The sequence below is a fragment of the Homo sapiens genome, chromosome 1 (assembly GCF_000001405.40).
Source record: "Homo sapiens chromosome 1, GRCh38.p14 Primary Assembly".
NCBI lineage: Eukaryota > Metazoa > Chordata > Mammalia > Primates > Hominidae > Homo > Homo sapiens.
Window position 1 is genome coordinate 165,529,157 of NC_000001.11, and position 14,121 is coordinate 165,543,277.

A 14,121-nucleotide genomic window follows, 5' to 3' on the forward strand; every position below is an offset into this window, starting at 1 on the left:
AAAATAATACAATAAAACACTATTTTTGCCTGTCAATGTAATTGTAATGGCAATACACAATGCAGGTGATGGTGCAGTAAAGTGTACACAACCATTACACTGATGAAAGTATAAACTGATGTAATCCTCCTAGAGCAATTAATAACTACCTACCAAGACCCTAAAAATATTCAGACAGATTGATCTAGTAATTCCACTCTGGGAACCTATTTCATGGAAACAATAGGGGATATTCTAGAAAATTTATGTATGTTAATATTCATCAGCAATATTTAAATCACAATTAATTTGCACAAATCAACATTCTATTATATGCAAATAATGAAAATACTAAGCAATGTTAATAAAAAATAATGTATATAAAGAATTATAATGAAAGAGCAAATATATTTATCATATATAAAAATATATATAATCTATTATATCTTATACATAATACATATAACATATATAACATATATTAAACGATATATTTATCATATTATTAAATAGTATTAAATACAATGTGTGTATATATTATTAAACACAATGTGTGTATGTATATATATACATTGTATTTAATAATATAATATATCATCATATATTAAATATCACATGGTATTTGCAATACTGTGTGTGTATATATACACACACATTGTATTTAATAATATATACACACATTGTATTTAACACATTATATACATACACACATATTTTATTTAATAATATTATATATTATCATATATTAAATATCACACAGTATTGACAATACTGTGTGTGTATATATATACACACATTGTATTTAATAATTATACATACACACATTGTATTTAATAATATGATAAATATTATATCATTTAATATATGATATATACACACACACATATATATACATACACACACACATACACATTGTATTTAATAATATAAGCTTGACTATATAACTATATGTATGAACAGTTAGGTTCTCCAGGATGTAGACAATAAGGAGTTAGGAAAGCAAAATATTTTATCAGGGAGTAATACCTGTGAAAGACAAACAGCAGAATTGCATGGGACCCTCAAACTACAGTGCAGAGGTGGAAAATCAGTGCCAGCCCAACAAGTAGCAACAAAGCAAAGATCGCCCTTTAGAAGAGCCCTATACTGGGAGAAGTAGCCAGGCTTTGTGGCACAAGCTGGCCCAGTCACCTACTGGGACCACCACTAAAATAGTGGGACCTTGGCTCGAATGCTAAGCCCAGTCTTGAAGGAGCTAACAGCTGGAGTCAAGGTGTTTCTGGAAGGGGAAGCTGAGTGGTCCACAACTGTATCTGCATAGAATAAAGGCTGGGAATGTACCAAAATGTTAATAGTGATAATGGAATTATGCATTAAACTTATTTTCCTTTTTGTACTTTTCTATATTTTTCATGTTTTTGCAGAAAGCATAATAATCACAAAAAAAGTATTATACTCAGAAAAATAGGATTTTTTAATTTTAAAATGAGGACTATCTAGGGATTTCTGTGTTCCTTAGTCTCTCTTACTTCCATCTTCACCCATCCTTTGAGAGTGGTAGTCCTAATGTATTCATATTAATAGTTTGCTTAGAGACATTTGTGTTGACATTATTTCCAGAATAAGACAAAGCCTTAAATTACACACACATACACACACAGAGTACTGCTTTTGGTTTGCTTTCTGTGGTCTTGTTTTTCTTCAAGTTTTATAAGGAAGTTTCCAGTTTCTCTCTCATTGTTGGACTGCATTGGAAGAAACAGAAAGAGTATGGGTGGGCAAAGATGGGAGTTTACATTTACTGCCTGCTACATACAGGGCAAGAGTAGGAGTTTTACAAAAAACAAGGTCCAGAGTCAAGTATGTAGCCACACATCTAGTAAAAGCTGGAGACAAAATTCACTCCAGTCAGTTTGGTCTCAAATCTTTGCTCATTCATCTATCTCTAGTGCCTTCAATCAAGAAATATCCATATCCTGCAGCTCAGCAAATTTGGCAAAGCTGATCATCAGAAACGCCATTGCATGCACTGTGGAGTTCTGCCAAGAGTGGGCAGAAAGTCAAGAGACTTGTTTTCTAACCCTGGCTATGTTCAAGGTATCAGATGACTTTGGACAATTTGTTTTCTTGCTCGTGGAGGCAGTGGCTGGGGCTAGTGGTTTCAAAAGGGCTTTCCTGCCCTTAACCTCTGACTCTCTCAATATTCATTTATTTGTGCATTACATATGCAATTAATACATTCATTTATATATGTATATAATGCTCTCAGCAAGCCAGTGCTATTGCCATGCCACATCTAAATAACTCATGAATGCATTCTGCTTCTATAGAAAATTGAGATCTTTAAATAGTTCCCTGCTATTGCCTCACCCAGAACTACTGATAAAGACAACTGCATTCACTGCAGCATTATTTACCAGCCAAAGACTGGCAACAATTCAAACACCAGTGGATAGAGGACTAATTAAATAAGCTATGGCACAGCGTTGCAATGGAATACTATGCAGACATATGAAAGATTTAGCGGACTTAGCCAATACTATCTAGGCTGGGCTTCTGGGACACCATATTCTCATATTTCCCTCCTCCCTGATTGGCTGTCCCATCTCAGTCACCTGTGTCAGACCTTCTTCCTCTTCCCAACATCTAAATGTGAAAAGGACCCAGGAATCAGTCCCTGGTCTTCTTCTGTCTATATTCTCTCTCTACATTCAATCCCAAAGTTTAAAATAGTGTCTGATGATACCCAAACTTCTATCTCCAACTCTAGTCTAAGCCATGCCCTCTAAACTAAACATCTCATTGCTTCCTGAATATTGTATTCATTAATATTTGAGTGCCTATTAAGGGCCAGGCACTGACTGTTCTAGGCACTGAAATTACAGCAGTGGAAAAACAAGACAAAGTCTCAGCCCTCCTTAACATTCCAGCAGCAATAACAGAAAATAAACAAGGGAATGGTAATTATGTTCTATAATGCCAGGTAGTGCTAAGTGCTGTGAGGGAAAATAAAAACAGTAAGAAGACGTAAGTGATGGGAGCTCTTTGAGATGGGATGACCAGGGAGGGCCAGTCTGGGGAGGTGACATACAGGAGTGACGCATGCCAAGGACAGGGTGGACGAGCCTTCCAGGTGAGGAGAACAACACGGACAAAGGTCCCAGGATGGGGACGTGTTGGCACATTAGAGAAACAGGAAGGAGGCCAGTGTGGCTAAGCAGAGTGAGACACGGGAGTCAGGGGAGAGGACATCACAGCAATGGACAGGGGACGAGCCCATGTGGCCCTGTGACCATGGCAAGGAGTTTAATTAATGAATATGTGTCCTGGTATAGAACAATTTCTAAGATGTATTGTTCCATGAAACAGCAAAGTGCAACTGTTGCTTAGACTCCTTCTGGAAGGACACACAAGAAATTGTAAAAGGTGGTTGCCTCTGGGAATGGACACCAAGGGGGAGCCAGTAACAGAGAAACCTATTTTTCAATGATAATTTTTTGTACTGTATTAAATTATCCCCAGGGACATGAATTATTTTTTTCAATTTATAAAAATCTCCTTCTATCTGGTCACTGGTGGTGTTCTAACTGGCCCAGTGGACTAAGCCACATTTGCCTTATCAATAGAACTCCTCAGCCTCATCTATTGCCTCCCAGGGTCCCTAAGCTTTTCAAGTTCACTTTGTTATCTGAATGGAGATCACCGCATCCTGTAGGTTTGTTTTTGTTTCATTTTGTTTTGCAGGAGGGAGGTTCCTCACCTCCAAGACCAAAGACCAGAGTCTGTCCTTCTCCTGAGCTCTCAGTGGCTCTTCTGTGGAAGGATACTTCTCCACTCCCGTCCCAAGGAATCTGAGAGCTTTGCTGTCCCCAGGTTACAGTGTCCGCTCCTCTCCCAGTGGCTCCTGGATGTTCTAGACCTCACGCAGCCAATTCCAGGGTGCACCACTCACATTAGTTTAGACAATACTATTTTTAAAGGACAGCTAGAATGTTTAGGAGGAGAAGGAGCTGTTTCACATGCCACTGTTTGTCCCTGGCCTGGCCCCCGCAGAACTTGAGACCCAAAGCCATAGCTGTCTTGATTCACAGATGAGGAAACAAGTTTATGGAGTGCAATACTTGTCTAAAGTTGCATAGTGAGTTTATGAAAGAATCAGGACTAAAATTCAGGTCCCCAGATTTCCAGTTCCAGGCTCTTTCCAGCTAGATCTCCCACCCCAATCCTAAGTCCAATCCAATTAGCCTTTTCCGTGGCTCCATGCTTGACTTTCAGCAGGAGCTGAAGCAAGAAGAGGGAGGAGGAGAATGAGTTGCCCAGCCAAGGCAGTTTCCGGAGCCTCCGAAGGGGCACTGGCCTCTCATGGATTTGGCAAATGCTAGAGGCCAGCTCATGAACACTCCTGGGTCTTTTAAGGACACCCTAGTAATCTCCTCGGACCTTCTTTGCAGACCTCAACACACACATGATTTCCCTCTCATGCTCTAAAAAAAAGAATCAGAGTCAGTTGTACTTTAAGTTGCCTGCAGAAACCTCATACCAAAAAAAAAAAAAAAAAAAAAAAAGGATGGGGGTTGATAATTTCTTTCTTTTTTTTTTTTTTTTGTATTGAGACAAGGTTCTCCCTATGTTGCCCTGGCTGGTCTCAAACTCCTGAGCTCAAGGGTTCCAACCGCTTCAGCTTCCCAAAGTGCTGGAATTACAGGCCATCGCACCCAGCCGGAGGTTGGTAATTGTAAAAGCAAAGATCAAATGATCAAATAAAGCAACACTTCTCTTTGGTAATGCATGATCATAAAGAGGAATGTTTAAAAAGACACCAAGGACATAAGATCCCATTTTTAATGAATTTATTCATCCAAGGTTACACACTCACACACACTCACCTGTCCTAGTCAGAATGCACCACAAGATTTGAGAATGACAGGTCTGATAGGAGAGAATCAAGAGGAAGCTTTAAGAGTAGCCTTCCTGTAACACCCCCAAGAAAGTTCATTGTCAAGAGCTTTTATCCAGTGCAGGGGATGACAGTGTCATGCAATCCAGCATTGTGTGCAGATAGATTACCTGCATCACGTATGCTTTGTGTGGCAATGCTGCAGGTCTGTATCCACACAGCTGTGTCCCAGCCTCATTCACATGGAGGGTCCTGAACATACATAGACTTTGACTGCTTCATGCAGAAACCTTACCAGTTGCTCTTGCTGTGCTTAGAACCATGGATATCTGAACAGCTTCTGAGGATAACCTTAGCCGAGCAGCTCTTTTGGAATTATGGGTCTGGCTCTAACCTCTGACAGTACTCAGAATAACAAACCATTTCTAACTTACCAGCAAATTAGTAATTCTTACTGCAGTTGCTATTTCTTTGGGGGAATGTATATTATTATATTATTTTGGATTGCTATTTTATTAATAATTCATAACCATAAAATGAAATGAAAATAATAGCTACTATCTTTTATTGAACACTTTTCTGTATGCCAGGTGCCCTTTTAATCAAATGGCCTGAATAGCTCATTTAATGTTCAAAGCAATCTTAGTAGTAAATTATGATAATCCCCAGGTAACAAAACTGAAGAGATGTTTGATAAGTTGCCAGTTGTACAGCTGATAAGTCAGGTCCACCTGCCTCTAACATTCATGTTTTAACCACTAAGTTACATGATATCCCATTCCTGAGTATTTAGAGCATTTATAGTATGCTACAGGCATCATGAAGGAAGTGATTCTGTTGTAGACTCTAACTTGGAGCTTTCTGCTAGTTAACCAAAGGGGCAGCAATAAACACTAGATTTATCTTCATACTACTGCTGCCATGTATGTGAAGAAAATCCTCCTTCAATAGGAAACTGTGGAACTTTTATATGCACAGCTACAGTTGAGATCTGGGTTAGGTAATTCATTCCCCTAAAAAAACTTTATGACACCGTAATTCACACTATTAACTGGCAATATGTCATTAACATAATTTCCTTCAGTAAGATTGAATCAGGACCTATTATGAGCTATTCATTATACAAAAATACAAATAAATAAAACAAGATGAGGTCTGTGGTCCCCAAGGAACTCACAGTCTAGTGGCAGAAATTTATATTTGTGATTAGAATTGCCATGAAAGTACAAAGTCCAAGAAAGCTTAGAGTAATTCTGTCTAGAGGAATCCAAGGGGGCTTGGCATTTGAACTAGATATGGAATTTAAACTGGGTCTTGAAGGGTGAGCAGGAGCTTCAAGGCCAACAGAGTGCATGAAAGAGAACTTCAAAGGGAAAATACCATAGAGAGGCTTGGGATACCACCGTCAGTGCCAGCAGAGCCAACAAGCCCCTGTGTTACTACCCAGGTGGTAACAAATGAGATTGAGAAGGACAGTTGGGTCCAGACCCTAACAGGCCTAGAATCTCACATGTTAAGAAGATTGAACTCCATCTGCACACAGGAAAATGGTGAGCCATTAAAAGTTTCTGAGCACAGGAGTAGAGCAATCAAAAAGCTTTCCTGGCAAAGAAAGATCCCTCTGGAGCCCAAGTGGCTAACAGATTAATAGGTATCTGGGCCTGGGTAGATTTGGTGGCTCTCAATATTTCATTAAATGAATTTCCTAAACACAGAAAGCAAGATACATTTTAATGTGTTTCTCTCTCTCTCTTTCTCTCTATGGCAACTAATCGTAATTATCTCAGAACGCTGAGCTCAAGAAGATATCTCCTCTGTTTACCTTCAGAAAGAACAAGGCAAGGGTTTACTCTGAGTATTAAATGTGCATTTTTATAGGTTTAGAGCTTAATTAAATAGCGTTGAAATCCATATGCAGGTTATTGAAAGTGTAAGTACCTGAAATGATAGGGAAAAAATACTTAGAAAGTTGCCACGTTAAAGCATTGTTATTAAAATAACAGAAAACGTCTGTTAAAAAACAATTTACTGTGCCCTGGGTTCCGTCAACTGGAGCTAAATACATGTCCCTTGGGTTCTTAGAGCATCTTTCTTCACTACAAAGAAAGTCAAGTAAGGAAATATGATCAAGTCCACCCCATGTACCTCCACACCTCCTCATTCCCCACCACATATGTAGGCAGTGCCTACCACCCAACACTAATATCATAACCCAGTTTACCATTGTGGTGTACATGACTCCAAACGTTCTTTAAAAGTCAACCCAAAAAAACCACATTAAGTTGGGGTAATCACCTGGGACAGCAGGGCAATTGAAAAAGGAAGCAGTGCCACTAGTCAAACAAAAGGGGCAAGCCCTCATGATATACTCCAGCATATGTATTGAGTTGGTCATCTATTCATTGAATGATCAGAGAGCACCTGATATATGCCCAGAACTGGCCCGGGTACCATGAATGCTAACAGAAATCAGAAACAGCCTTTCTCCTCAATCAACTCCATCTGTCTCTTGACATTTACTACAATTCTACAACTGCATTGTTCAGAAGAGGAAACTGATGCTTAGAGACACTAATTCACTTCAAGATCAAAGATCCCATCCAGGGGGAAAGCACAAACTCAGGAAGGCACATGTCATAAAAGAAATCCTGGAGTCTGGGGGTCAAATTTATACAAGGGGACTGCAAACAAGAGGACAAAACACAACCTAGGCAAGAGGCAGCGTGGACCATTATGTTCCCCCAAAGACCATCTTAGCACTAAAAACATGAAAAAGAGATTAATTTAATATTCATAGTAAAGATATTCAAGAGGCAGTGTATATAGTGGTAAAGTGTGCCGCCTCTGGAGACACAAAAGTCTTGGGTTCAAATCCCAGCTCTACACCTTTATAACTGTGGACAAGTTATGGGCAAGTTAATAACTGTGGGCTGGTTACTGAAGTTTGCATGGGTTGATAACCTTTACTGCAAGGAACTGTTGTGAGAATTACTAAGAGACAATATATGCAAAATGCTTAGTGTAGTGCCTGGCACTCAGTGAGAATCAATAAAAGTGAGCTATGATGATCAAAGTCAATAAGCCCAAAAATGAAATCATTATCTCTTCTCAAAAACCTGTTCATTCTGTGCCTGAATTCTCTATTGACATGATTTCCACCCACTCACCAAAATCAGGAGCCATTCTCAGTTCCATTTCTCAAACCACCACCCTTCCACCTTCCTCTACTATCATCATCATCACACCTAACATTTCTGGTGCCTTTCTAAGTTTGAAGATGCCAAGCCAAGCACTTTAGAAGATGACCTTCTTTAATTTGGCAGAAGAAAACCTTTATGAGGAAGGTACTGTCATTATCTCTATTTTGCATTTGGAGAAGGTGCAACTTAGAGAGGTTATGAAACTTTCCTAAGGTTCCACAGCTATTAAGTGAGAGCAGGAAGATTTTATAGACAGTCTGAGTCAAAACCCATGCACTTAAACACTATATTACATAGCCTCCCAACAAACAGGTTGCTCAATAAGCCCTACAGTTTCCTCTTTCCAATTCGTCTTGGCTCTACCCCGTCACCACCCTTGGGCCACATCCTGCTCTGCTAAAGCACAGGCACACAGTGGGTTGTATTTCGGAACAATCGTGGAGAGCTTTGAATGTCAGGCTGATAGGGAATTCGACCAAGGAAGAGTGTCTGAACCTGAGAAAGAGTGTTGCTGAGTGAGGGGCAGCCCCATCGGTGAGAGCGGACTGGAAACACAGAGGCCAGGGAGGATACCAATGCCATCAGTCAAGATGTGAGGTACAGAGGGCCTGAAGCAAGGGAGTGGGAGTGGGAACAAAAAGAAAGGCTGGATGCGACAGACATTACCTCACCAGGCACAAATACTCTCGAGGCTGGAACTTGGTTTAATAATTCTGTTACTAGGGCAACAGCAAAAGAACCTATCTCAGAGAGAACCCATCGTAGCCTGTTTCTGCACAGAAGAGTGGTGGCTCTAAGCTGGGAAAACGGGGTTGAAGGCAAGTGGCCAAGTGACGCAGCAAGCCGCGTGGATCAAGACTTCACATAGACATTTTTTAGACCTTTCACCCTCTACAATTTGGGGAGTAGAGACATTTGAAACAGGCTTTCCAAGAAGGAAGATAGCAAGATCTAGGGAGCTGAAGCTATTGAAGCCCCATGACAGATTAGCAATACTGTCTCTGATTTGTATTTTATTTTTCTTTGAGACAGGGCCTCACTCCATCACCCAGGCTGGAATGCAGTAGCATAGTCACAGCTCATTGCAGCCTCAACTTCCCAGGCTCAGGTGATTCTCCCACCTCAGCCTCTGGAGTAGCTGGGACTACAGTTGTGTGCCACCACACTTGACTAATTTTGTATTTTTCGTAGAGACAGGGTTTTGCCATGTTTCCCAGGCTGGTCTAGAATTCCTGGGCTCAAGCAATCCATCCACCTCAGCCTCTCAAAGTGCTGGGATTACAGGCGTGAGCCACTGCACCCAGCTGCCTCTGATATTTAGACTAATCTAAGGACACCAGGAAGAGGTGGGGGAGGGATGCCTTTGCCACATCTGTCATCATGGAGGATCCTGTGGTAAAGAGTTCAAATGGCAGCATGTCTGGCAACAAAAGCGAAAGTATAGATCCAAAAGCTGACCACTCAGCTTTTCTTTAACTTGGTATCACTGGAACAATGGCCAAGTCTTAAAGGTAACTTTCTCAGTGTGTCCAGGAATTGAAGTGCTAGGAAGAGCTTACCTATGGAAGTCATCCTTTCATCCTTTTGTCCTTTCAGGAATATTGTGATGAGATAGCCCTCATCGCATCATTCCATTCATCTCTTTGTTAGCCACCCCAGCCAGAAAAGAAATTGCCTTTCAAAAACATTAGGAAATCTATGTTCTATCCAGCTACATTCTCACCAGCCTAGGTACCTAGATATTTACTCATTTTCTGAGTAAGCTTAGGCAAATTGTTTTTCCACTTAGTTTCCTTACCCGGAAAAAGAAAAAAAATATATATATATGTGTGTGTGTGTGTGTGTGTGTGTGTGTGTGTGTGTGTGTGTATTTATATATATATATATGTGTGTACATATATGTGTGTATATATATAATATATACATTAACCTTAATCTCAACGGTTAATATAAGAACTTAAAGCCTGAAACATGTCATAAGCCTTCTGAAAGACAAGGGAACCAAAAGCATAAATAGAGCACATTAAAAACAGTAGTTTGATCTGGTCTGAAGTCAAGGCACCATTTAGGGCTAGAGAGGGACAATGTATTCCATGGAGCTGATGAAAACAATTAGCATTTTGAGGCACTGATGCTGTACAGTAGTTAGAGCTTGTGCCCAGTAGTAAAATTTCCTGTTCCAATACAGCCTTTGTCACTCACCAGCTCTGTGACCACGGGCGAGTGGCACCTCTGGGAGCTTCTGTTTCTTCATTCATAAGATGAGGGTCATGCAATATGACTCATTGCGTTGCTGGGAGGATCACATTCTTGACACAGGGTAAATAGTAAATAGTGGCTATCGTGTTTCCTTAAATCACAGGCAATCTATGTAACAACACTGGAAAAGCAATATTCATCATCTCTATTTTACCAAAGAGAAAACCAATGCCCACAGAAGCTAAAATGTGTGCCCAAAGCCACCCACAGAGGAATCTTCTCACTACAAAGCTCACACTGTGCCACAGTTTTCTCTCCCATTCTGAAATCTACAAGTCTCCTATAAAGGGTCCATATTCTCTTCCCAAATCAACTGGGCTTAGACAGCCACCATTATTGGCAGTCTCAAATCAAGTTTCAGGCATAAGGACTGCTACACATAATCTTAGCCATGGGCAACAGTTTATTGATTTGCTATAAGCTGAAAACATGATCTAATTCTGCCCCTAAAAAGGGTATACAATTTACAGGCTTCCCCTTGGATTCCTCTGGACAGTGAATCCTGCAGAAGTATAGAATGCGGATGAAGCCTGGAAATCAAAGATATCCCTGGGGAATGCAACAAATGGGAGTGATTTCCTCTGGCCCTCTGGCCTTTACTCTGTTAGAGTCCAATCTCCCTAGTGGAGACTCCGGCAGCCTGAAGGGAAAAGACAAAAATAGTTTCTACCAGCTGGCACAGCAAACAGAACCAAGGCTCATGAATAGACAGATACACACATATTCAGCCCTTAGGCCTCAGCCTTCCCGGCATGTTTTGGAACTCTTTTTCCACTTTCAGGCTGAACTTTTTGTCCCCAAGCCCCACACCTGCTGAGAGATGAGTTTGCTGAAGAGGGCCCAGGCAGTGTCAAAAGTCTGGAGTGAACTGGATACCATAAGTGGCTCCTACACCAAAGTCCTTGAGACTGTTACATTCTTTAGACCTGAACCCACAACATTCCCTGCCTGGGGAGCAGTTTAACAAAGTACTGACTTGTGTGCCCCTACGTTGCTAACCCCATGTAAGTCCTAAGTTGAGCACATTGGCAGTTTCAATGGAATAAAATGGCATGTGCACTTCCTTCTGCTATTTTTCTCCTGAGAAAATAAAAGCATGCCAAAATTAAATATCCCTTAGCACTTGTACCCAGACAGCTGAGTGGACTATTTACTAGCTAACATTCATGGTCTGCTTTGTAATCGCTTGACTCTGTCTTAGTTGCTTGGGCTTTGACGCTTCAATCATCTGTTCTCTCCCTTCACAACTGAAGTTTGATGGAACTTTAAAACTGGGAAAGCCTTTGGAGAGCGTCCTGTCTTGTTTTACAGAAAGAAAATCAGGGCTTTGAGAGGGCACGATGTCATACTGCCTCAGCTTCTCAATTGTGTTCACTTTGCCCTATATCACCCAGCCTCTTCTTTGTATGATATCAGGGCCTGTGCCCACCTGTCCTTTGGATCACCAGAGAGCTGTTTGGAGGCACACTGGCACCTGAGAGGGATCATTAAGCTGGGAAGACAGTGCCTCCATCAGATACAGCTAAAAATAGGAGCCTGCCTGAGAGCAGAGTCAGCTAGCGCGATTGTATGAGACAGGAGGGGCCTCTCCAAGTGCTCACTTGATGCTTCACCTGTCCTCCTGGAAGGATGGGCACACCAGCTATCCAAGGGGCAGGGGCAGGCTAATAAAACAGCCACACACACGAAGGGCGACCATGCTGCATCTGAAGCTGCATGAGCCGCTCACTGGGTAGAGAGATTGTCCTTTTTGCAGCCACATGATAGGTGGGACTATATGGTGTGATTAGAAGGAGTAGAAAGGCGGCCGGGCATAGTGGCTCACGCCTGTAATCCCAGCACTTTGGGAGGCCGAGGCGGGTAGATCACGAGGTCAGGAATTTGAGATCAGCCTGGCCAACATGGTGAAACCCTGTCCCTACTAAAAATACAAAAATTAGCTGGGTGTGGTGGCGCACATCTGTAATCCCAGCTACTCGGGGGGCTGAGGCAGGAGAATCACTTGAACCTGGGAGGCAGAGGTTGCAGTGAGTCAAGATAACACCACTGCACTCTACTAAAAATACCAAAAAAAATTAGCTGGGCATGGTGGTGGGGGCCTGTAATCCCAGCTACTTGGGAGGCTGAGCAAGAAGAATAGCTTGAACCTGGGAGGCAGAGGTTGCAGTGAGCCAAGATCGTGCCATTGCACTCCAGCCTCTACTGGTTTGCTGGGTGATGCCTGAAACCTTTCCATTATGAAGGAATTTGGAAGTCCTAAAGACACTTGGAAATTATCTACTTCATTTCCCTCAATATGTAGATGACAGAAATAAAGCCCAGAGAAATTAAGCACCTCAACCAAGAACAAACAGCCTAGTCTAGGACTTCCCAAAGCAGGATTTCTGAAATAATAGTTTCACAAGTTGTTCTTTGAAAACAAAATTTATTTAAGGTTCTGAAATCAGGTAATTCAAGCAATGCTACATTCTCTTTTCTTTGTCTAGTCTGCTTCTTCTTTATCGAACATATATTTATTCAGTCTCAAAATGAGGTACACACTTTAGAGATGTGGTCTAACCTGGCAAAGCTGAAACTAGCCCATGAGTGTCCAGGTTTCAGGACCAAAAACAATACAGCTACCTCAAACAAAAAGAATATTCCCTGAGGTTAAACCACTCATAGTGCTTTGTGAAAATGGTAATACTCCAGAGCCAGGCATAGCTGACTGGTGTCAGTCAATAACCTTTAGCATGATATATTTACCTAAGGCTTTTCTAAGCAGAGCACTTGTAACCATACGGCCAAACAGGTAGGCCTAATCCTGAGACTACTATCTTGAGAAAGCTAGTATGGATAATGAGGCTGGAAATGAAGTAGGGCAACCTGGAGATGGGGCCGTCTGAGGGGAAGAAGTCAGAAAGAGGGAGAATGGCATAAAAGAAAAGGTGACACGTCAGCAAAATCACTCCATGAGCTTTGGCGAGTGAATCAGTGATCATTTCTCATGGAAAGGAAGCAGACAACAAACACAGCCCTTCCAAACAAAGTATCCCTGCCACACTCCACCAGCAAAACACACCCTCGCCACAGCTCCCAGAGCAGTCACTTTGGAAATTAATTCTTTTCTATAGACTTCATGTGCTAGATTTCTCTCCTCGGCAATCACATAAGATCTAGAAAGGAACTTATATTTTAATAGAATTTGTTTTAATTATGAGGAAAGGGTGTCTGCCCTATCAATTAAGTCATGCTTCAATTAGTACAGCTATCATTGGGGTCATTACTTTAAGTATTTGAAATGTCTACTTAAATAAGGTCACTTTCAATTTGGTAAACACGCCTAAGTCATCATATTAATTCACAGCCAGTCACCCAAGGAATGCTGAGTAAGTAAACAATCAAGCATTAGCTAACTAGCCACAAATCCATCTGACTTTATTAATTTCTCTCTTGGCAAAGAAGCAAGAGAAGGAAGCAAACCATCAGAAACATTCTCACATTGTTCATTCACTATACATTTATTACATACCAGGTGCCAGGCACTGTGCTTAGGTTTCAATATGTTACTAATATTCACAACTCAGTATATATGAATGTTTTTAAAAAATGAAATCCAATTTTCCCAAAAATAAAAGTTTCAACTCCTCAGATGTTTTATCTTATTTCTGCCTGATATGCCTTCCTCCACGGGGTGTGTGATACATCCCAACTCTTCAGCTTCCAGGTTTTCTATCCCTCGCTCCAAAAGACTAATCACCTGACAAGTAATTAATGAATATAAACTCACACTAGAAGTACTAGAGA

The 14,121-nt window shown here is 41.1% G+C and overlaps 2 long non-coding RNA genes across 2 annotated transcripts in view; one reads left to right on the plus strand and one right to left on the minus strand.

Moving 5' to 3' along the window:
* Nucleotides 1-14,121, minus strand: part of LRRC52-AS1 (LRRC52 antisense RNA 1) — a 105,314-nt gene that overhangs the window by 52,315 nt on the left and 38,878 nt on the right. The window lies entirely within an intron of this gene.
* On the plus strand, nt 6,375-6,759 carry LOC124904448 (uncharacterized). The gene is made up of 2 exons (XR_007066707.1): nt 6,375-6,426; nt 6,664-6,759. It is a non-coding gene; the product is annotated as an uncharacterized LOC124904448 (long non-coding RNA).